The 23,307-nt window shown below is 45.4% G+C and overlaps 1 protein-coding gene across 3 annotated transcripts in view, besides 3 other annotated features; it reads left to right on the top strand.

Moving 5' to 3' along the window:
* GNA12 (G protein subunit alpha 12) overlaps positions 1–23,307 on the top strand; it is a 116,204-nt gene that overhangs the window by 24,075 nt on the left and 68,822 nt on the right. The window contains exons 1-2 of one of the 3 annotated variants that reach the window (NM_001282441.2): positions 5,004–5,357; positions 5,845–5,922. The exons of the other annotated variants lie outside the window; for them this stretch is intronic. Of the exons in view, the coding sequence (NP_001269370.1) occupies positions 5,304–5,357; positions 5,845–5,922 (132 nt within the window). The 5' untranslated portion in view covers positions 5,004–5,303. Of the gene's footprint in view, positions 1–5,003; positions 5,358–5,844; positions 5,923–23,307 lie in introns of those variants that run through there. 3 annotated transcript variants of the gene reach the window in all.
* Positions 6,392–6,594: a silencer, noted in NCBI's record as "fragment chr7:2853274-2853476 (GRCh37/hg19 assembly coordinates)". NCBI's record gives its function as "represses an EF-1alpha promoter that drives an FKBP-Casp9 reporter gene in an ReSE screen in K562 erythroleukemia cells {active_cell/tissue: K562}" and the evidence as "EXISTENCE:reporter gene assay evidence [ECO:0000049][PMID:32094911]".
* Positions 10,602–11,458: an enhancer, noted in NCBI's record as "H3K27ac-H3K4me1 hESC enhancer chr7:2848410-2849266 (GRCh37/hg19 assembly coordinates)". NCBI's record gives its function as "activates a minimal SCP1, AML or CMV promoter by ChIP-STARR-seq in primed H9 embryonic stem cells {active_cell/tissue: H9 hESC(primed)}" and the evidence as "EXISTENCE:reporter gene assay evidence [ECO:0000049][PMID:30033119]".
* Positions 11,459–12,316: an enhancer, noted in NCBI's record as "H3K27ac-H3K4me1 hESC enhancer chr7:2847552-2848409 (GRCh37/hg19 assembly coordinates)". NCBI's record gives its function as "activates a minimal SCP1, AML or CMV promoter by ChIP-STARR-seq in primed H9 embryonic stem cells {active_cell/tissue: H9 hESC(primed)}" and the evidence as "EXISTENCE:reporter gene assay evidence [ECO:0000049][PMID:30033119]".

Below are 23,307 nucleotides of genomic sequence, written 5' to 3'. Positions count from 1 at the left end.
GCCCCAGCCCCAGCCCCGGGCGGCCACCAGCCCACTTTCGACACCGTGGATTTCTCTCGACGCTGTTGATTTGCCTTTTCTGAACATTTTATGTAAATGGAATCATACAGTATGTTGTCTTCTGCGACGGACTTCTTAGCATCGTTTCTTCAAAGTTCATCCATGCTGTAGCGTGGCATCGTCATCCCTCTAAGCGGCCGAATAGCATTCCCTTTTGCTACGCCCCGTTTTGTTTATCCGTGCCTCAGTCAGTGGCATCTAGGTTCTTTCCATCTTTTGTGTGTTATGAATGATGTTGCTATAAACATCCATGTGCGGGTTTTGGTGTGAACATGTTTTCTCTTGGGTGTATTCCTAGGAGTGGAATTGCTGAGTCAAATGGTTGCTTTATGTTTAACATTTTGACGAGCTACCCGAGTGTTTCTGAATTGGCCGCAACATTTCTGTTCCCACCAATATAACGTCTTTGGGGTCTAACCGTGCTTGTGTTTATCTGTCCTTTGAATTCCAGCCATCCCGTTTTCGGTTTGCCTTTCCTCGATGGTGAATGAGGTATAGCATCTTTTCATGTGCTTATGGGCCATTTGCGTATCTTCTTTGGAGATATGGCTATACAGATCCTTTGCCCATTTTTTTAATTTGGATTATTTGTCTTTTATGCAGACTAGGGAATTTCTTAAGGGGACTGCTTTTGGTTATTGTGTTTCTCACTTATAAACTCACCTTTCAGTAATGAGTCACATACACCTCCACAGCTGTTTTGGTTTTCTGTTGCCACTGTAACAAATTACCACAGGCTTCGGGACTTAAAACATTTATTTGTTAGCTCCTAGTTGCTTGGGTCAGAGGTCTGGGCACAGTGTGGCTCAGTTGGTTGCCCTGAGTGTCATGAGACTAACAGGAAGGTTCCAGCCGGACTGTGTTCCTTTTTGGAGGCTCTGGGAATGCATCGGCATCCAAGTTCATTCAGGTTGTGGCAAGGGTTCAGGTCCTTGCAGCTGTAGGACTGAGGTCCGGTTTCTTTTCTGACCTCCCTCGGCTCCTGGAGGCCTCCCTCCAGTCTTGCTTGCAGCCCCTGCAACTCAGAACCAGCAGCGAGCGGCTCACAAGGAACCTGCCAGACTTTTCCACCTTCCACATCTGCTTGTAAGGACTGGTGACTCCATCAGGCTCGCAGGGTAATCCAGAATAATCGCCCTATTTTAAGCTCAGCTGATTGGTAGCCTTAATTACCTCTGCAAAGACCTTTCACCTAGGTTCCCAATTGATGAATACCCCCGGCCATCTTTAGAATTCTGCCCGTGCCACGGGCTTGTGGCCTGCCTTACAGCCTTCTAGTTACAGGGGACCATGAAAGGGTTGTGAGGCTGGTCAGAGAGAGTAAGTGAAAACGGCAAGCGAAACCTGTGGGAGAGGCCACTTTGAGTCGCCTCCCTCCCTTGTTCGTTTGTCCTTTGCTTTTTTTTTTTTTTTTCAAGTTAGGGTCTCTGTCACCCACGCTGGAGTGTAGTGGCGCGATCTCGGCTCACTGCAACCTCCACCTCCTGGGCTCAGGCAATTCTCATGCCTCAGCCACTTGAGGAGCTGGGACTACAGGGCTACGCCACCATGCCCAAATATTGTTTGTATTTTTATTAGAGTCGGGGTTTCACCATGTTGCCCAGGCTGGTCTCGAACTCCTGACCTCAGGCAATCTGTGTGCCTTGGCCTCCCAAAGTGCTGGGATTACAGGCATGAGCCACCGCACCAGGCTTCCTGTTCTTTATTATAAGTTGTATTTTCTTTATTACAAGCTGTAGTTTGTCTAGCCTCTAATCAGTGGTTCTCCGTTGGAGAGACTATGCTCCCCAGGGGGACATTTGGCAGCGTCTGCAGGCGTGTTTGGTTGTGACACTGATGGGTGCCGCCGGCATCTGATGGTTGGAGATGCTGCTGACTGTCCTGCAGTGTGTGAGGCGCTCCAAAACAGAATTCCCCAGCCCCCAGATGTCAGTACTGATGTGGTAAACAAACTTTGTTCTATGTCAGATGGCCAGTTTTTTAATGGCAGAATTACACTATTATGTAAATAATTGATGTTCTTAATGATGACTCCCCCCAGAACCTACAAAACCCTGACATGCCTGTTAGCTGTGTAGGGAGTCATTCCGTGTTCATTGAATTAATTTTAATACGTTATAGTGAACTACAGTCCCACTTGAAACATTAAGAGCAATCTTACAGTGTGCTAGTACTTTTTCTTCTTTTTTTGTTTAGTTTCCTAACTATGAAAGCAGGTGTTCTAATACATTTGGAACTAATAATTCATGTGTAGTGTACTTATGGAGACTTAAAAATAAAACTAAAGGGAGGGAAGGAGGAATGGAAGGAGGAGATGATAATTAACAAAGAATTCCTTATTCACAATTAATAGATGACAACATTTGTCATAACTTTAGATGTTTCTTCTATGTTCCGTTCTCCTCCCCAGTCCTAATACTGGAACCAAACTGCTTAGACCAGAATCCTGAGTGACCTTGGATCAGCTGCATTCATTCATTTGTTCCACAAACATCTGAGTGCCAGGGGCTGTTTTCAGCATTGGGAATAACAGCAGTGGCCAAAAGTCAGAGTCCATGTTGTCTGCGTAATGGGCAGGTTAGGGACAAATAATGAGTAAGTGAAGAAATATATAATGTCTCCACAGAGAGAGCTGAGGGGCTGGTGTGGGCAGAGCAGAGTGAGTGAGGGCGAGAGAGCAGGTGGACATGGGGTGGCTGGGGTAAGGGAGGATATACAGTCTTGCAGGCTGTGTAAGGATTCTCATTTAAAGTGGAGTATGGGCCGGGTGTGGTGGCTCATGCCTGTAATCCCAGCACTTTGGGAGGCCGAGGCAGGGGTGGGAGGAATCACCTGAAGTCAGGAGTTCGAGACCAGCCTGGCCAATGTGGTGAAACCCCGTTTCTACTAAAAATACAAAAAATGAGCTGGGCATGGTGGCGCGTGCCTGTAATTTCAGCTATCAGGAGGCTGAGACAGGAGAATCGCTTGAACCCTGGAGGTGGAGGTTGCGGTGAGCCGAGGTCGCGCCATTGCGCTACAGCCTGGGCAATAGAGCGAGACTCTGTCTCAAAAATAAATAAATAAAAATAAAGTGGAGTATGATGGGAAGCCATTGGAAAGTTTAAGTAGAGAGTTGAACTGACCCAACTGTGTTTTTAAAAGGGTCATTGTTTGTTAAGTGGGGAGTGTAGACCTCCTCCAGGGGTAGGAGGTGGAAGTGGGCAAGAATGAGAGCAGGGGCATCAGTGAAGAGCAGCAGAGACCCAGACTGACTTGATGGGAGCAGAGGAGGCGGTAAGAAGTCACCGGAGTGCATTGCACATTCCTGATCATTTCTCTAGCCTGAGTTTTCTCATCTGTGAAATGGGGACAGTAATCATGGATGTCTCCTGGCCGCTCTTAAGAATTGAATGAGTTAATGTGTGCTAGACCTGTGCCTGGACAGAGTAGGTGTTCAGTGAATGTTAGCTTCAATATCATTCTCACTGTCACTGCTGCTACTGCCCTTCCCACCGAGGAAACCCTGGCATGAGCTGGATAATTATTCAATTTGTGTTCTGTACATGTTTTGAGTCCATAATCAATATGTATATTACTTGTTTTTAAGAATTTATGGAAATGGCATTATTTTGAATATATCATTTAAAAAATGGATTTGCTAGGCTGGGAGCAGTGGCTCACGCCTGTAATCCCAGCACTTTGGGAGGCCAAGACAGGTGGATCACCTGAGGTCAGGAGTTTGAGACCAGCCTGGTCAACATGGTGAAACCCATCTCTACTAAAAAATACAAAAATTAGCTGGGCATAGTGGCAGGCACCTGTAATCCCAGCTACTTGGGAGGCTGAGGCAGAAGAATCGCTTGAACTAGGGAGGTGGTGGTCGCAGTGAGCCAAGACCGTGCCATTGCACTCCAGCCTGGGCGGCGAGATCAAGACTATCTCAAAAAAAAAGGATTTGGTGAGCAGCACATGTGCGTGCTGTCCATGGGGGTGCGTGAAGATCTGGTTTACTTCTTTCCACCGTCACATTACTTACCATAATTGCTGATCCGTTCCCTGTGAATGCGTATTCAGGTTGTTTACCGTTTTCCCTGCGACCAACAGTGCTGCACTGTGTGTCCGTGTCCACGCCTCCGTGCGCGGCGGCCAGGGTCTCTCCGGGATGTGTACTTAGACGCAGAGTTGCTGGGTCAGTTCCACGCAGGCCCAGCTTTGCCAGGGGCTGTCAACCATTGCTTCTCATGGAAAGTCTCAGCAAGGCTATTAAATGAACTCAAAAACTATCTCCCTTATTTTCAGATGAATGAAAAATTCAGTGTTTGTGTAGATGGAGAGGAGCAGAGGAGTGATGGGAAATGTCTCTGGGATTGGACGTCATCAGGTGTGCTAAGACACAGACGGGACTGTTGTGAGGAAGGAGCTTGTGCTCACAGATTTGTAGAAACAGGAGGCACAGCACACGGGGCCACACGGGGAGCACCAGGCTCCAGGGAGCACCACGCTGGGTCAGGAGGCGGAGGGGTACTTGTGGGCAAGAGCCTCGATTGTGGTTTCTGAAAAGAAATGGGCAAGGCAGCATCCGCGGTTTAGGATTGGCTGGTTTGAGTAATTTCCCCAGCCTCTGTGCTATCAGGGTGGTCCCTGGTTGTCCAGTGCTTGGCCCTGGGGTGGTTGGCAGAGGCATATGGCTGCCTGCAGTGTGGAGCCTGGGCCGCCAATATAGCCCTGCACTCCAACCTGCGCTGAGTCATCTCTCCTACACGCTCCAGCCTCCCTCATGTTTTCTTTAGTGTTTCAAAAATGCGAAGCTCAGGGTCTTCGTGCGTGAGATTCCTTCCACCAGGAAAGCTCCTCCTGCCCCTGCTGCGCAGCCGGCCCCTCCTTAAGGTCTTGTAAATGCCTCCTCCTGAGCCGCCTTCCCCAACAGCCCTCATTTAAGCAGCCTCCTTGACTGTAGGTCCGCTGACTGGCTTCCTCCTTGAGAGCACACTCACAGTGCCGGACCGCAGGCACCTCGCCGATGTTCCTGTCCACTTGCTTTTTGTATTGCTCCTTCTCCAGTGAGCTTGGAAGCCTCATGCGGGCAAGGCCTTGTCTGTCTGGTTCTCTGTTGTGTCCTCGGAGCCTGCCACAGTGGCGGCGCTTGGTGGCTTTGACAGGGGACTGGATTGGGTGGAAGGGGCGAGATTAGACCTGGATACAGTGACGTCCTTGTCAGCCATGCCGAGTGCAGAGCGCCTACTGTATTGTAGGCATTTGAAATGAAACGGAGAATGTTTCCCAGGCCGTGCCTAGCAAGGATGCCTGGCAGTCGTGTGAGTGAGTGCTGTGGAGGGGAGCAGTGCACACCCGGTGCTGTCGGGAGCACAGGAAGGGTGCTTGGGAGCAGTGCGGGGCAGGTCAGGGAACCCTTTCTAGGATGTGTGTTGGACAGGCTGATAAACTTCTGTGGAAGGCCGTTATATGCAAGGAGTTCACATCTGGACGGTGACTGGTCCAGCCTTTTAGAGCTCCTTCCAGCTCTGAGATTCTATGCCACGAAAAAAAAAAAAAAAAGGCAGGAAAAGGAAATAAGGAATTTTTTGGTGGGAGTTGCGGCTTTAAATAGGATGGTCCAGTAAGGCCGCACTGAGAAGGCCTTCCCAGTAAAGACTTCATGGGTGCAGAAGAAATTTCCTCAAAGTCTTGGTTTGTGTCTTTGATTTTATTTGTGAGCTTGGAGAAGCTTGAGCAGGGCTTTATTCTGATGTCTCTAATTGTCTTTAATTCAGATTATAGGAATTCTTAAATGTTGACTTGCAGGGTTCGGGAAGCACACCAGATGGAAACCGAAAGTGCTGCCGTTTTGAGCACCTACTCATTGCACACCCTGGGTCCAGGGTGAGTCTCACTCCGTTCAACTCCTCGGCCACAGATCTCCCTGATCTCAGTCAGGATTCTCCAAAGAAGCACAGCCAACAGGATACATAGATGTATAAAAGGAGATTTATGATGGAGAATTTCACTCACGTGATTCTGGGAGCTGAGAAGTCCCATGTTCTGTGTGGCAAGCTAGAGACCCAGGGAAGCCCGAGGCGTGATTCAAACTCAGCTCATGTCCGAAGGCCTGAGAACCTGGGCAGCCGATGGTGGACATCCAGTCCCAGGGCAAGAGAGGATGAGATGTCCAAGCTCCGGCGGCGAGGCAGGAAATGAGGGGTGAACTCCTCCTCCCTCTGCCGTCTGATCTATTCAGGGTCTTGAGGGATTGGAAGGTGCCCAGCCACTTGGGGAGGGCAGTCCACCTTCCTGAACCCACTGTCCTAATCCTAATGTCATCTCGAGCACCCTCACAGACACGCCCAGGAACGGTGTTGCATCAGGCACCCTGTGGCCCAGTTCAGTGAAATTAACATCACAATCTCCGTGGTCCACACCTTCTGGACAAGGGGTCTTTGCAGATGGGCAGACTTAGGCGTGGCCCCAGATTCCCAGATCTCCTAACGAATACGCTGTTTCCTGCTCCTCCAGCTGCACTCTGACAGCTCACATGGGGCGATTGCCTCCATTTCCATTTTCATTTCCTTCACAGATTGGTTTGCTCACCATCCAGCATGTTTGTTTGTTTTTTTTTCCCCACCTGAGAGCTCTCCCGGAATGTCCCCAGCCTCTCCCTCTGGAGGTATAGCAGATATTGTGGTGGCTTCCTGCAAGGAGCGCTGTGCTGGCATCACTCAGTGATGTCCCCTTACGCAAGCTACACTGACTGGGAACTTCTGTTCCCTCTGGGGAAGGGGAGGTAGGAGGAGACTCTCCCCTGGATGCCCCTTAATAACCAGTGAAATTGGTACTATGGGCATGGAGTCATCTATTTTTTAAAATAATTTAAATGAAAACATGACTGTGGAGAAAGCCGGTTTCCTCAAAGCTCATAAATATTTATAGTTTGAAACTTTGTTTCATCTTAGAGCTTGAAAATATAAACTGTAACCTCTTGTTATAGAAGGGGAAACAATTACCTTTTAAAGGTTGCTGGATACCAGGCAGGAGGATCACTTGAGGCCAGGAGTTCAAGACCAGCCTGGGCAGCATAGCAAGACTGTGTGTCTACAAATAAAATTAGCTGGGTATGGTGGTGAATGCCGGTAATTCCCAGCTACTCAGGAGACTGAGCCTGGGAGTTTGAGGCTGCAATGAGCCATGATTGCACCACAGCACAGCAGCCTGGGCGACAGAGCGAGACTCTGTCTCTAAACATAAAATTTTTTTTAAAGTTTGAAAAGTAAAGGTCACTGGATTCTTTTGATTTTATATATGTGTTTATCCTTTATCCTTAAACCTAACAAAAAAGGGGCCAAATAACTGCTTTGTTTACCAACTTTCTCATTAGAGGTGGGGTTTCCTAGGCATCTAGACAGATGCTGAGTTTTATAAATGTAACGTCTGTGCCTTCATGTGGCCCTGGTGAAGCACCATCGTAGAAGGTGGCTGTGACTGACAGGAGCACAAAGCCCCTGATGTGATGTGATGTGATGTGATGTGATGTGATGTGATGTGATGTGATGTGATGTGATGTTATTTTTGAGATGGAGTTTCACTCTTGTTGCCCAGGCTGGAATGCAGTGGCACAATCTTGTCTCACTGCAACCTCTGCCTCCTGGGTTTAAGTGATTCTCCCACCTCAGCCTCCTGAGTAGCTAGGACTACAGGCATGCGCCACCACACCCAGCTAATTTTGTATTTTTAGTAGAGACGGGGTTTAATCATGTTGGTCAGGCTGGTCTCAAACTCCTGACCTCAAGTGGTCCGCCCGCCTCAGCCTCCAAAGGTGCTGGGATTACAGGCGTGAGCCACCGCACCCAGCCTACAAAGCCTCTGATTTTAGCAAAGCACCAAGGCCTAAGGACTCTGCCCGTGTCTTAGCAGCTTTAGAAGGAAAAGCAAGCCAAGAAAAACATTGAGTTATTTACCATAATTCTGAAGAAAAGCAAATGTGAGTCCTTAAGGGAGGAATTCTGACTTTCTTGAAACAGATTAGTTTTTTTCATGGAATTAGTAACACAGGGACTTACTTGCCCGGTTTTAAGGTTTTTGGTGAGGAGTTGCCTGAAACGCAAGTTCTCTTGAGAGTTTTTTCAGGTTTTTGGAGAGGAGTCGCGTGAAACGCGGGTTCTCTTGAGTACTTACAGCCCCTTCCCACTGCCCCTGGGAAAGCTGTGGTGCTGCCTCTCTAGGGAAACAAATAAGCGCTGCTCTGTGCGTGAAAAAAACAGATTTCCTTTCGTTTTATAAGATGGACGGGGACATGGGACTTTTCACTTGGCTCTTAAGGGAGGGGCTTTTTGAGAAGTAGACACTGGTGTCCTGCGTGGCCTGCCGGACTGTCTTTTCAGCTGTCAGCAGAACCCCTCTGAAGGGAGCACCAGTTTCAGCAGCGTCCGTGCCGCAGGGAAGACATGGCAACATCAGAGACCAGCACAGCTGTGGGTGAAACTGGACAGCAGCCCTTGGGCAGCATTGGCGGCTAGGGTTTAACCAGAGCCTGTCAGGGGAAGCGCTTCTGGTTTTGCAATCGTTCTTTACAACCTTACGAAATCTGTGCCGTGTGCTTTCAGGTAAATGGATTTCACTTTGAGGTCCCTTCTCAAATGATTTTTTAAGAAGTCTATATAGTTGGCAAAAATTTGATAAAAGTTACTTCATTGGTCATGACATAAAGTTATCTGAGTAAGAAGAAGCAGCACACTTATTCTCCTGTACCTCTGGAACATGTGAGCACCCTGGTTGTTCTGGGCTTTCTCTGCCAAGGCTGGGAAACTAGAGTTCTGGCAGCTTTGTTGCTCCTTTGTCTTCTGTGTGAGCCGCGGTGTCATCAGCCAGGTCACCCCGCTTGCAGCACAGTCGCTGTGCTCTGGGCATCGGTGGAGCGGGGAGCTCTGGTTGTGCACAGAGGGCCAGGTGTAGATGTTGTGCACAGAAGTCAGCCCCACCCAGGTTAGGCTGAGCCGTCTTCCCTGAACCTGAAATGGTTCGCCTGGAGCCCACGTGTGCACAGCCTGGGGGCTCTGGGCCAGGGTTCCTTGTAGTCTGTATTTCCTTTCCAATTCTGATCTCCTTTTTGCTGCTGGGAGATGAAATCCCCTCACTTGACGACTCAGGAAGCATCTGTTTCTTCTGATTCTTGGGACTTGCCATCTCCAAAGGCTGAGCTGCGGGCCTGGGTGTCCCTGTTGAATGAGAGCGCTCCAGGGCCTCCTTCCACATGTTATCTCATTATCTTTTTGTTTTTTTCTTTCTTTCTTTCTTTCTTTTTTAAGACAGAGTTTCACTCTTGTCACCCAGGCTGGAATGCAATGGCGTAATCATGGCTCACGGCAACCTTTGCCTCCTGGGTTCAAGTGATTCTCTTGCCTCAACCTCCCACGTAGCTGGGATCACAGGCACCTGCCACCATGCTCATACCCACCTAATTTTGTGTTTTTAGCAGAGATAGATAGGGCTTTAACATGTTGGCCAGGCTGGTCTCGACCTCAGGTGATCTGCCCGCCTCAGCCTCCCAAAGTGCTGGGATTACAGAAGTGAGCCACTGTGCCCGGACTTTTCTCATTATCTTGCCAGTGACCGTGAGGTCCATCATTTGGAATCCAACTGTAAAAAAAAAATTATTGACAAAACCCAAGGAGTAAGTTCCTTCTAAAGGCTGTAGCATGGTTTTTGTTAGCAGTATTACTAATACTGTTATTATTTTACTCATTTGCAGTGCTATGGTCTGAATGTGTCCATCTCAAAATTCCTATGTTGAAATCCTAACCCTTAAGGTGCTGGTGTTAGGGGGTGGGGCCTTTGGGGAGTGATGAGATCACAAGGACAGAGCCCTCATGAATGTGATTAGTGTCCTTATAAAAGGGACCTTAATGAGCTTGTATACCCCTTCCACCATCTGAGGACACAGTGAGAAATCACCGTCTAGGAGCCAGAAAGTGGGCCCTCACCAGACACCAGTCTCCATCTTAGAGTCCCAGCCTCCAGAACTGTGAGAAAGAAATCTCTGCTGTTCAAGCCACCCGCCTGTGAGGTTTTGTTATAGCAGCCCAGACTAACACATGCAGCGAACCTGAAATATTCAGCTGCGTACTTCTTAAGCGATCCTCTCCCCTCCTGGGGTTGACCCCTTTCTAATGTCAAACCATTTCCCTCTAAGAAGGTGATTGTAATGATACTAGAAGACTGTTCCGAATTCAGAATGCCTTTAAAGGAGTATCTGTATTGTATTAATCATAGAAATTTTTACTATGAATTTATTACTAAATACTATTTACATAGAATTTATTACAAAGTAATATTTATTACTAACAATACTTACATAATTTTACTATGAATTTATTACTAAGTAATATTTACATTTACATAAATATTTACATATTTACAGATGTGTGAAAATTGCTTCTTCTATTAAACGCTATCAGTCACTTGCAGTTTTAATTTATCCACCACAGTAAAGTAAGCTGTTGTCTTTTTGGCTGATCTTTTCCTGTCAATAGGCTTTTTCATTTTTATTGTACTGTTCCTTGGGGAGCAGGGCTACCCCAAAGGCGGTGTACCCAGAGTAGCCGGCTTTTTAATTTTGTCTTTGACATACGAAAAGGAGGTAGTTTTAGGAGGAATTTTCAGATCCATTGTACAACTAATTTTTTTTTCAAATAAAGTATGGGGCAATATTTATGTATTAATGTCAATAATGAGTCATCATAGGGTGGAATTTCCAATGAAAAATACATTGAAACGCTAATGATGTTTGGTTTGTGTATTTTTTATCAACTTTGGTACAAGACAGATCTAATGACTATCTAATATAAAACACCTGTTACTTGAGTGCTCCTCACTGCAGGTATGAGGTAGGACTGCTGCCCTTACTTTGCGGATGAGGACCTGGGGTCCCTTAGTTCATCCTGCCAACAGGTAGAGCCTCTGCTCTGTGCCGGCCCTGGGGACACGGGTGTGAACAGAGCAGAGCCCTGTCCTTGTGGGGCTTGTGCTCGGTGGGGAGAGAATCATACAGGAGATGCTGAGTGGACTCTGAAGGCGGGTAGCCAGCCGGAAGTGGTCAAGGAAGTAAAGCGAGGATGGAGCGTGGGAAGGATGGGCCTGGGGTGCAGTTTTGGATAAGATGGCCAAGGGCAGGCCACCCTGAGAAGCTTCCCTGCCCCAGTCCTCACTGAGCATTGAGGAAGTGAGCCGTGCGGCTATCCGGGGCAAAGGGTTTCAGTTGTCAGGAACCAGAAGTGCAAAGGCCTGAGGCAGAAGTGAGGATGTGCCTCTTTGAGGACCTGAGTTTTTGCCATGAATGAGATGGGAGCCTTGTAGGGTTTTGAACAAAGCGGGTGATAAGAGCTGACCTAGGCTTAGCAGGCTAACTTGACCACTGGTTTTGACAGTAGACTGAAGGGGACAAGTGTGGACACAAAGCAGCCAATTAGAAGACTTGCCATAATCCAGGTGAGAGATGGTGGTGGCCGGACCCAAGTGAGAGCCATGGGAGCAGCAGGAAGTAGGGAAATTGTAGCTGTCTCTGGAAGGTAGAACCACGGCATTGGCTGACAGGCTGGGCCAGACCTCAGGATGGTGCATCTCCCCTAGCTGCAGGCCGCTGCTGCTCTGTGGGGAGTGAGGTCCTCCTGTGCGGCCCAGGTCCCTCTCCATCCCATCCAAATTCAGGCCCACAGGATGGTCCAGGGTAACCCACAGCACCTGGGCACTCTCCTACTACAGCCAGTGGCCAGCCTGCAGGGACAGACAGCCTCCAAGGCCACAGTCAGCTCGGCCCACACCCTTGCTGATCTGCAGAAGGTGCAGAAGCAGCTTTTCAGGCAGCATGGTAGCAGGGCCTGGGTAGGCCAGCTCTGGCTTAACCCAAGTGCAGGCCGTAAGCACTGAAGGCGCTGCTCTAGGTGGGTGTCGGGTAGCACTACTCATGATGGTCACTGCTTACAGGAGGGAGTTGGGTATGCGTGAGAAGGAAACATGTTCACAGATTCCCGAAAGAGATATTGAAACTTGCAGAGGCCAACTCTGTAATTGCAAATGAAGCATAAATTAAGATTTTCCGTTTAGTTGTCTAAACAGTTACCCATGCAGTCCATAGAAGAGAAGATGGATGCCTGCAGAGCAGGACTTCATTAAGCAGCAGCCTGAGTCCTAAGTGGAGGAAGCGCCCAAAATGATCACGGAGCTTGTGGTACTTTCACCTAATAATTCATCGTAGCTCCTCCACGGGGCACAGAGCGGTTTCTGCGCGAACAGGTTTTTCATGAGCTCAGCGGCTGCTCTTCGGTCGTGTGTGTGCCTAAGGTTGGCCCCTTAATTTGAAACGCTGCAGCGTCTTGTTTAGTGAGGCTGCCTGATGCTGATATTTAATTATTGCCATGTCCAAGTGCGTTTTTGGTGCTGTTGAAGTTACCATTGAGTTTATTTTCTGCAGTAGTAATTTACTACTTAAATTTACTTCTTCCAGCTTTTTTCCATTTGGTCTTATCGCAAGTTTGAACTTTCCTCCAGATAGTCTTAGAGGCAACGGATGAGAACAGTGAGCAAGCTGCTGTGTTATCCTGGCTAGGTTTTTTTTTTTTTCTCTCTTATACCTTATTTTAATGCTCATTAATTCAAAGAGATTTCTGTTTATGGAGACAGTAATTAATAGTAAATCTCCCATCAAATTCAAGGCTCTCTTGATTTTGAAACTTCTAAGAACTCAGGCTAAATGTTTTAAATTGTTCTTTATACCTTCATGAAACGTTTTATTGGAAGTGTTGACTGAGCCTAGTTTTCTTACTGGAAACAAGAGACTAGAAATTCAAACATGTTTGTGAAATTTAAGCATTTTTATTACTAATTGGTACTTTATTACTTATTATTGTATTATAATGGGACTTAGAGGAAAATAAAGTATAAAAATCAGTATAAAAGCTTATTTGAAGTAGAGAAGCCAAATGTCTATTCCATTTTTTCTAATTTTCAGTTGTCAGTATACATACACTAAATTTTCCTCATTTTCAGTTGCTAGTTATCCTGATTTCTCTTTGAGCTGTGGTTTGAGGTCATGACTGCTTAGATATTATTGGAGGACAATTTTCGTGAAGCAAATAGATCAACTAAAAAACAATTTGGGGGAAAATAAAGGAAAATTAAAAGTTATTAAACATAAATGTGTAAATTGGCAGAACCTTTCTGGAAAACAGTTTAGTAATATTTATCAAAACCTCAAAAATGTGTGTATACTTTTTTGACCCAGCAGTTTTATAATTCAACATCTAGGAATTTGTCACAAGAAAATAGCCATATATGTGAAAATAGGGATGTATCAAGGAGTTCCTTGCATCGTTGTTTATTCTTTCCATACACTGGAAAGAATTCCGATGTCCAGCCATAGGGATTACCTCAATCTTAGCATGTCCCACATGTCGGACTACTCTGCAGCCATTACAGATCTTGAAATCTTGAATGACATAGGAAAGTGTTTACGATACATCGCTAGAAAAATTTTAAAGTGTTACAAAATGTTCTGTAAAGAATAAGACAGATAACATTCCTAGATGTTAATAAGTTATTTCTAGATAGTGATATTTTTAAGGATTTAATTTTCTTCTTTATGTATTTCTATATTTCCTCTATTTTTTGCACTAAAAATACACTTTTATAATCAGAAAAAGACAAGTTCTTTCTTCTTTTTTCTTTTTCTTTTTTTTTTTTTTTTTTTTTGAGACAGAGTCTCGCTCTATCCCCCAGGCTGGAGTGCTGCAGTGGTGCAATCTCAGCTCACTGCAACCTCTGCCTCCCGAGTAGCTGGGATTACAGGCACCTGCCACCATGTGCCCACACCCAACTAATTTTTGTGTTTTTAGTAGAGATAGGGTTTCACCATGTTGGCCAGGCTGGTCTCGAACTCCTGACCTCAGGTGATCTGCCTGCCTTGGCTTCCCAAAGTGCTGGGATTACAGGCGTGAGCCACCGCCCCCGACCAAGACAAATTCTTTTAGATATGTTATCCTACAGCAATGCTGTCCAATAGCAAATCGAATGTGAGCCACAAATGTAAGGCACGTGTGTACTTCAGATTTTCTAGTAGCCACATTAAGGAGAAAGAACGAAAGAAAAATGATTTTAATAATAGATTTTATTGAATCCAACATATCCAAAATATTACAATTGCAACATGTAATCAGTATAAACAAAAGAAGTTTACGTGTTCTTTTTGTACTCTTTGTGATCCAGTATGTATTTATAATACCTCTCAGTTCAGCTGGGCCGCACGTCCACTGCTCGGTGGCCCTCGTGGCTGGGACAGAGCCACCATTAGATGGTCTCTTGCTGGGCTGCCAAGATAGCGTAGATGAGTGAGTGTTTTCAGTGTCTGGAGATATTAGACTCAAGTAGTGTCTGAATGCACAAAATGTCTTCTAATGTAGCCAGGCTTAACAGTATATCCCATACTTCCAGATTTTAATTACTATTTTTAAAAAATGTTCTAGAGAATTTCAGAAGTGTTGGGTCCTCAGAGGTCAGCTCAGCTCTGGCTCTAGTCTCCGTGCCTGCTGTAAGCTGCGTGAGAGCAGGCGGCAGCCCAGGCATCTTCTGCCTCCTGCCTGTTCCTCTGCTCCCTTATCTCTCCAGATACTCACAGCAGTGTAGAACAGAGCTGAAAAATCTCTAGCTTGAGCCCGCGCGGTCAAGGCTGCAGTGAGCTTTGATTGCGCCACTGCACTCCAGCCTGGGGGACACAGTGTGACCCTGTCTCTACAAAAAAAAAGAAAATCTCTAGCTTAAACTAAATCGGTCAGGCTTGATAACTGTGTGATTTTGAGCTTCCGCTTTCTCATTTGTAAAATGGGCATAATGCTATTCCTCGCAGAGTTATTTATAAAGACTAAATGAGCTAATGGACAGTGAGTACTTAACACAGTGTCGTTCACATGGCAGGCGCTTAGTCCCATGAACGCAGATTGTTATGGCCTCTCTGAAGCAGCCTTTTGGTTGATAGACTGGCATGAATTTTATGCATGTCTGCATCTGCTTATTTATTTGGCACCTTGGTCGGTGTTTAAAGGCTTTGTGGAAAGGCTCTGGGCCTTTATTTACCACAGTGTGCTGAGGCCCCAGCTTGACCAGGTTGGATCAGGAGGAGGGTTCTAAAGAACACTGCCTGGGGGTGCCACCACCACCATGCGCTGCACACATCATGTTTGATAATCAAAAGCAGCCTTTCTAAAATGAACATTAGCTGCGTATCCTCTTCAATATCTTTTTTTTTTTAATTTATTTTAATAGAGATAGGGTCTCGGTAAGTTGTCCAGGCTGGTCTCCAACTCCTGGGCTCAACAGATCCTCCCGCCTCGGCTTCCCAAAGCGCTAGGATTACAGGCTTAAGCCATCACGCCCAGCTCTCTTCAACGTCTTTAGTGGTAGAAAATGTTGAGTGGTAGCTCTGTGATTCCCAGACCTCACCATGCAATCCAAGATGGCCCCAACGAATGGGCCAAGAATATGTTTAATGAAAACCAACCTAGTGACACTGCCCCCAGAGGACAAAGATTTCACCATTTTCTCACACCTCCTCACACAGTTTCTTTGCACTCTTATCAGTTTTTCACAAAACCCAACTTGTTACTGTTTGGACTTTTGACACTCAGCCCAGTCCTATTGGCTTTGAAGTGGTGGGACCAAGGAAAGCCAGCCTTGTAGCAGGCTCATCTACAAGAGTCTGGCCCAGTGGCACTCAGACCATAGTCCAGAGGAACCCGGTGTATGTACACGCGTGTGTGTTTATGGGTTTATGGGTTTACGCATACACACACACCCGTCTATATATAGCTGTCTCTGCTAAAACAAATTCTTTGAAACACTTACCTTTATTATTTGCAGTCTATTCAGTTAGTTACCAGTATATTCTTTTCCTTTTTAAAATGCCTACTAAATGATTTCACAATGCAGATCCTGACTTGAATTTCGAAAACACTGAATTAGCACATGAAGCTGTTACCTGTTGATAGTGTGTGCAAGCTTTTCCCCCTTAGAATGATATTTTGTGTGTTTGTGTTCTCAAGTTTTGCTGATCTTTTCTGTACTTAAGAGGACGATTTCGTTCCCCCTTGTACTAGTGTTTGTCATGTAGTGAAATTTTTAGTGAAGGGAGATTCCGAGACTTATCCTGACCCCTGGAAGAACAGGAGAGGAAGAAGTTGGTCTGCCCATGGCCATGGCTGGCGGGTGGGGGTTGGGGAGATGATTCCAGGAGTTTCCAGCCTGCTGGCTTGTGAGTTTTGAAATGGAGCCCTGGATTTTCACTTTCCAGTTCAGGAGATCTGGGGAAATCTGGATTGGTTTGGAGTTGTTTTTTTGTTTGTTTGTTTTGTTTTGTTTTGTTTTGGACTTTTAGGAAAACCTTTTCAAGGCAGCTGAAAAAAGCTAATGATGATAATTTGCTTCTCCTATGCCATTCCTAAACCCAGAGTTTTCTCTGCAGTTCCATCTCCTCTTGAGAAGCTTAGCTTGGATTTCCCACTGTCCAACTGAACTAAATTTGTTGAAAACCTACCTAAATGTCACCCCTTCTAAGCCATCCCCTCCTGTGGACCTGACTTGGGAGAACTGGTGGGTATTGTGCTTACACAACAGGGCCCTCACTGCTCTCCGTGCTCTGCAGGTTTGGTGAATTCCTGGTTTTGGATCTCTCCATCTTTTATTGAGAGCACTTGGGGTGAGAGCACTTAGGGGGCTCCTGATCACTCTCCTGCTTTAGCTGCTCCTTCCCTGCCTCCTGTCCCACCTGCCACGGGACCTGCAGGCAGCCTCAGACCTTGCCATTCTCCTTTTCCAAAGCCCTCGATCGTCCCCTTTCTCACACAGACTTCTTAGCTCTCCACAGCCTGTCTGTGAGCGAGGCCTCACCAGCGGTGGCGATTCTGGCTGTCCTCCGACGGTCCTGTCCTTCCAGTTATGGGGCTGGCCTCTGTACTCTGCATCTGAGACTGTCGCTTATCTGCTCGTGCTCTGTCTTGCTGCTACGCTTGTTTTGAAAGTTCTCCCATAGCAGGAGCCAAGTTTACCGCCTTTTGGGTTTTCCCCATTCGTTACCCACCACTTTTCATTGCCTGAGGTGAGCCCTCGGTATAGTCACTGGCAGAGCCAAGAGGGGGCTTTCTTAGAGAAATAATAGGCCTGATCCCGTACGGCAGTGCATTTGTTGCGGAAGGCAAATCCGCGGAGTTATGGTGGGGCCAGGGCTGCGCTGTGAAATGGCAGAGGCTCTGATGGCTGGTTTGACGGCTTACTGCCTCCCTTCGTCAGTTTCTCGCTGACCTTTACACTAAAAGGTATCTTGCACTTCAGTTTTCGAGAGGAACTAAGAGGCGCTGTCTTTGTTTGCTGGATTCATCAATGTAAAGAAATGCATCCTGTTTACACTTCTGGCAGCGTTTCTTTTATTTGGATGGTGGCCAAAGGCAAACAACTCAGCCGAGTGGGTTTTTAAAAAACAGAGCTTTCCAAGTCCACATGCTGTTGCCCGAGTGAACATCCAGAATCTTCAGTTTGTCTTAATGGAACTGTTTCATCTTGTAGAAAAAGGCTCATATTATCTTAAAGCATTTTATGTCTATCGTAGCTTTGGTATTTATTGTGGGAAGATTTTACTAAGGAATGACTAATCTTAAAAGATTTGGTTTGATTAGGGGCTAAACTAACATAATCTATTTTGAAATGAGATAACAGGATTTGCAGTTTTTGGTCTTCATCCAGCAAAATTGAACCCCACCCCCCACCCCCCCAAAAAAAATCTACATCCCCAGCAGAGAGGGAATCTATACTTTGACTAGAAGTTTAAGTTGCTGGATTTATAAGTTGTCTTAAAAATATGCTGTCTGAACAGTTTGAAGTGTGACATTGTATTGAGATGAAGTCATCAAACTGCTTGAGACTTTAACCGTTTATATTTGGGTAACCAAATAAAATGTATGGTTATTCAAACAATTAATACTTCAGTAATACCATTACTGAAAAAAGGATTTTTCTCTTAGCTATTAAAGAGACTTGAATGAGTTGTCGTTCTTATTTATTTTAAGTGTATGTGAGTTTTAGGATTTTCTTGGCTTTTGTGTTTTAGAAAATTGGTCTTTCATTGGAAAAGGACAGGAGTAAGAGGTTTATTATAATATGCCTCCTATACTAGTATTTTACTTTTAAGACTTTAGCAATTCTATATAACAATGGTAAAAGTGTAACTATCAGTTCTGCAAAAGTACGGTAAATACATTATTGTTACAGGCTTTAAACTCCAGAGAGAGCTTACGTCTCTCTCTAAAAAGGAAGAAAAGGGGACTCAGAATTTAGCCAAATGTCCCCAAGTAGAAAACTTCGCTGGAACTCAGATGTGGATTTTCAGAACAAAGTTGGCAGAGAGCAGTTTTTGACTAGAATAAATGTAAAAGGGCAAAAGAGAGACATCTTTTTTTTTTAATGCCTTTTTTCCTTCAAAGGAAGGGAAAATGGACTGTAACTACAAAGCTTACAAAACTACTACTTAACTGTTCAAAGCTCATCAGTAGTTTAGCCACCTTTCTTGTGTTTTGAAAAAGGGAAAGGAGGAGTCTTTTCTTGTGGTTGGGTGCAGTTCATTTGGACCAGCTCCAGCCTGCTTGGGCGGATTGTGCGGTGGGAATAGACTGCTGTTGCATGGGCCAGTTTTGCGTGTGTGTGTTTTTAAGCCAAACCTATGTTCACCCTGATAGTTGGGGAAGGCCTGGTGTGTGCAGTCCTGCAGTCTTCGTAAGTGACCTTTGGCCTTCCAAGTCCTACCTGGCCCCCTGACTTCGTCTTTGACATAAAAATGAAACTTCCTAGGGGTTATTGATTTAACTTCTGAGTGAGATTGTACTCCTTGTGAAGCTAAACTTTTCATTTGTAAAAATAGCACCTGAATAGATACCTGGTGGGTCGGACCCAATTTCTGTATTTGAGTTGGACGAGCAGGGCCTTCCCGGATAGCGGGAGGGTTGGTGACTTGATTGGGAGGGCATGGAGGCTGAAACCCCATCCAAGCCACTGTTGCCAGGCTGGGCCGCATCTGCCTGGATGATGGAGAGCGTTTTTCTGATTTGTACAAAGGCACCGAGACCCTTTGCCCGAGACCTCGCCAGAGAAATCTGTGTGCTACCTTCTCCGTGCCGAGATAGTTTTTGTTGTGCATAGTGGGGAAAAGAGGAATTGCCTTTGTTTCCTTGGGTTCTTGAACCTTTTTGGTTTTGTCCTTTTGGAAAGGCAAGAGTTTGGTGTGGTGTAGTCAAAGGAAGTGGGGAGATGAGGACCCGGAGGAGGAATCACAGTGGGGGAGCCGGGAGGAAGGAAAGTGGAGAGTTTATTCAAGTCACATTTTCCCTCTAGGTAGATTCCAGTCCACCACTGCCACTCGCTCAGATGAACCCACCCTTCGGAAAGCTCCGTCTGAGGCCCACCTCCAGTTAGGGTTTTAGCAAGCCTCCCTTCCCTACTATCTCTTTGCCTTCGGCCTCTGCTAACCCTCCCTCTCCACATCACATCGTTGGAACTTACATTGCCGTGGTCGCTAGTTAACTTTTTAAAAACTTTTTATTTTGAAATAAGTATAGGTTCACAGGAGGTTGCAAAGATAGTACAGAGAGGCAGGCAGTTTTTCCCAGTGGTTATGACAGACATAATTTCAGTATGCTGTTGAAGTCAGGAGACGGGCTTTGGGACACTGTGTGTGGTTGTGCGCCCTTTCCTCACCTGTGTAGGTTTCTGTAACCACCACCACAGTCCAGACCACAAAGATCTCCTCGTGTTGCCCCTTTCTAGTCACTTCTCCCCCTGTCTTTCCCATTACTAACCCCTGGCAACCATGAATCTCTTGTCCATCTCTGTAATCTTGTCACCTCAAGAATGTTATTAAACAGAATCGCATAGTGCGTGATCTTTTGAGACTGACTTTTCGTTTAACATAACATCCTAGAGCTTCATCCAAGTTGTTGCATTTCCGTAGTGAACTCCCATTTGTTGCTGGGTAATGGTCCATGGTATGGTGCACCACAGCTTGCTTCCAGTTTGGGGCTATGATGAACAGAGCTGCTGTGAACATTACAGGGTTTTGTGTGGACTTAGCTTTCAAATTTCTGAGATAAATACCCAAGTACAGCTGCTAGGCTGTATGGGAGTTGCATTTTTAGTAGTTATAAATCCACCCAACTGTTTTCTAGTTTGTGCCATTTGACATTCCCACTAGCAGTGTATGAGAGGTCCGGGGTCTCCGCCTCCTCACCTCCGCTTGGTGTTGCCGCTGGTTGTCTTGGTTTGGTGGTTGGTTTTTTAGCTGCTTTAACAGGTGTACAGCAGTATCTTACTGAGGTCTCGATCTGCTTTTTCCTGATGGCTGGTGATCTTGAACATCTTTTTCACTTGTGTATTTGCTGCCTATATATGTTCTCCAGTGAAATATCTCATCATGTCTTGCCCATTTTCTTTAAAAAATTTTTTTTTTCTCTTCATTTCATTCTGTGACCTGCTGAATTTTGCCCATTTTCTAACTGGATTTGTTTGCTTTTTAAACTGTTGAGTATGTATGTATGTATCTCAGGATCTTGCTCTGTCACCCAGGCTGGAGTGCAGTGGCACTGTCATAGCTCACTGTAACCTCAAACTCTTGGGCTCAAGCTATCTTCATGCCTCAGCCTCCTGAGTAGCTGGAACTATCAGCGTGTGCCACCATGCCTGCCTAATTTGTTTGATATTTTTGTAGAGACGAGGTCTCACTATGTTGCCCAGGCTGGTCTCGAACTTCTGGCCCCAAGTGATCCTCTCCCCTCAGCCTCACAAAGTGTTGGGATTACAGGCGTGAGCTACTGTGCCTGGCCTAACTGTTGAGTTTTGAATGTCCTTGTATATTCTAAATGAGTCCTTTGTCAGATATGGCAGATGTGTGGTTGGCAAATATTTTCTCCCAGTTCATAGCTTCTTTTCAGCCTCTTAAGAGGGTCTTTGGCGGAGCAAAATATTTTCGTTTTCATCAAGTTCAATTTATTGATAATTTTTCTCGTGTGAATCATGTATTTGGAGTCACATCTAAGAACTTTGAGCACACCCTACATCCTGAAGATATTCTCCTATGTTATATATAGTTCTACATTTTGATTTGATTTTGTATAAGCTGTGAGGTTTAGGTCAAGGTTCTTCCCCACCCCCTCCCCCGCTCCCCCCAATTTTCTTTACCTGTGGAAGTCCACTTCCTCCAACAGCGTTTGTTGAAAAGACCAGGCTTCCTCTTTTTAATTGCTTTTGCACTTTTACAAAAATTACCTAGCTGTATCAGGGGCTATCCCTGGGTTCTCTGTTATGTTCCATTGATCTGTGGGTCTGTCACCTCACCAATACCACACAGTCTTGATTATCATAGCTATATAATAAGTCTTAAAATCAGATAGACTGATTGTTCCCACTTTTCTTTTTCAAAGTTGCTTTAGCTAATTTAATGCTTTTTCATATAAATTTTCAAATAATCATATTTATATCTACAAAAGATCCTGCTGGGATTTTATGGAAATTGTGCTAAACCTGTTTATTAATTTAAGGATATTGGTACCGTGTTGAATCTTCTAATTCGTGACCGTGGTATATCTATTAGATTTTGAAAATTTCTTTCCTCAACATTTTGCAGTTTTCAGCACATAAGTCCTACACATATTTTGTTAGATTTATACCTGTTTCGTTTTTTTAGTGATAGTTAGTAGTAGTACATCTTTCATTTCACTTTCCACATGTTCATTGCTAGTATATAGAAAGACAATTGAATTTCGTGTGTTGACATTATATCCTGCAACTATTCTGGATTCATTTGTTTATTCTAGGAGTTTTTTTGGTAGATTACTTTGGGATTTTCAACATAGATCATCTTTTTATCTGCAAATGGGTTTAGTTGTGTGTTTTCTTTTTTTGTGTGTCTAATCTATTTGTTTTCCCCCCTGCTTTTCCTGAGCTGTGTGATCTTTTATTTCATTTTCCTACCTTGTCGCACTGGCTAGAACTTCCAGAACCATGTTGAATAGCAGTAGCAGAAGTAGGCATCTTTGTCTTTTCCTAGTGTTGGAGGGAAAGCATTCAGTCTTTCACATTAATTATGAGGTTAGCTGTATGTTTTTTTGTCAGTGTTCTTTATCAAGTTGAAGCATTTCTCTGTTCCTAGTTTGCAAAGGTTTTTTAAAATCATGAGTGGGTGGTAAGTATTTTTTTTATCCATACATTTGTCTTTCTAGCCAGACTCTGAGTTTCTGGGGGTCAGATACTGCTTCTTAAAGTTTGTTTCCCCCACAAACAAACACACTGAACAAATGTTTGTGGATTGGTAGAACTAGGCATGGTCTCCAACGGCAGACAGACAAGGTCCTGAGGGGAAAATCAGGGAGCATCTCTAACCAGACCGTCCTGGTCAGCTGGGTCTGGAGGAGACTTTCAACTACTCTTTGGTCATCATTACGTCTGACTCAGTGGTTCAAGGCAGAAGTGGAAGTTATAGGCACCAAATTGATGCTGCAGGAGAGAGATGAAGGAGGCAGAATGGATTCATCTGCTCTGCCCTGGGTGTCAGAAATGAAGATTTTTAGGATAAGTGCCAACTAAAAATCATTAAGTTGTACACTTCAAATTGATGAGTTATATGGTACATGGATTATAGCACAGTAAAACTGTTATTTAAAAAGGAAAAAAAAAAAAAGGCCGGATGCAGTGGCTCACACCTGTAATTCCTAGTGCTTTGGAAGGCTAAGGCCAGAGGATCAGTTGAGCTCAGGAGTTTGAGACTAGCCTGGGCAATATAGTGAGACCCTGACTCTACGAAAATCTTAAAATTAGCCGGGCGTAACGAGGCATGCCTGTGGTCCCAGCTCCTTGAGAGGCTACGGGCAAGGATCACTTGAGCCCAGAAGGTCGAGATTGCAGTGAGCCATGTTCATGCCACTGCACTCCAGCCTGGGTGACAGAGCAAGACCCAGTCTCCAAAAAAGGAACATAGATAAGTGCCTAGTGAGCAGGTGACCCTGGTTTTCTCTGTCCTGGAGGATGGGATGCTGCTCTCAGCTGGCCTGAGTCCCTCAGATTGCTCTGAGATGAGAAGGCTTTTCCAGATGGACAGATGTGTACTTGATAGCCTTCTCAGGGCCCTTGACCACTCTGTATACCCCCAGTGTAGACCATACCAGAGAGTATGCAGTGTGCCCCTCAGAAGAACACAGA

Source organism: Homo sapiens, chromosome 7, assembly GCF_000001405.40.
Source record: "Homo sapiens chromosome 7, GRCh38.p14 Primary Assembly".
Classification (NCBI taxonomy): Eukaryota; Metazoa; Chordata; class Mammalia; order Primates; family Hominidae; genus Homo; species Homo sapiens.
Note: the sequence above shows the minus strand (reverse complement) of the source record. Positions and strands in the feature narration are given on the sequence as shown.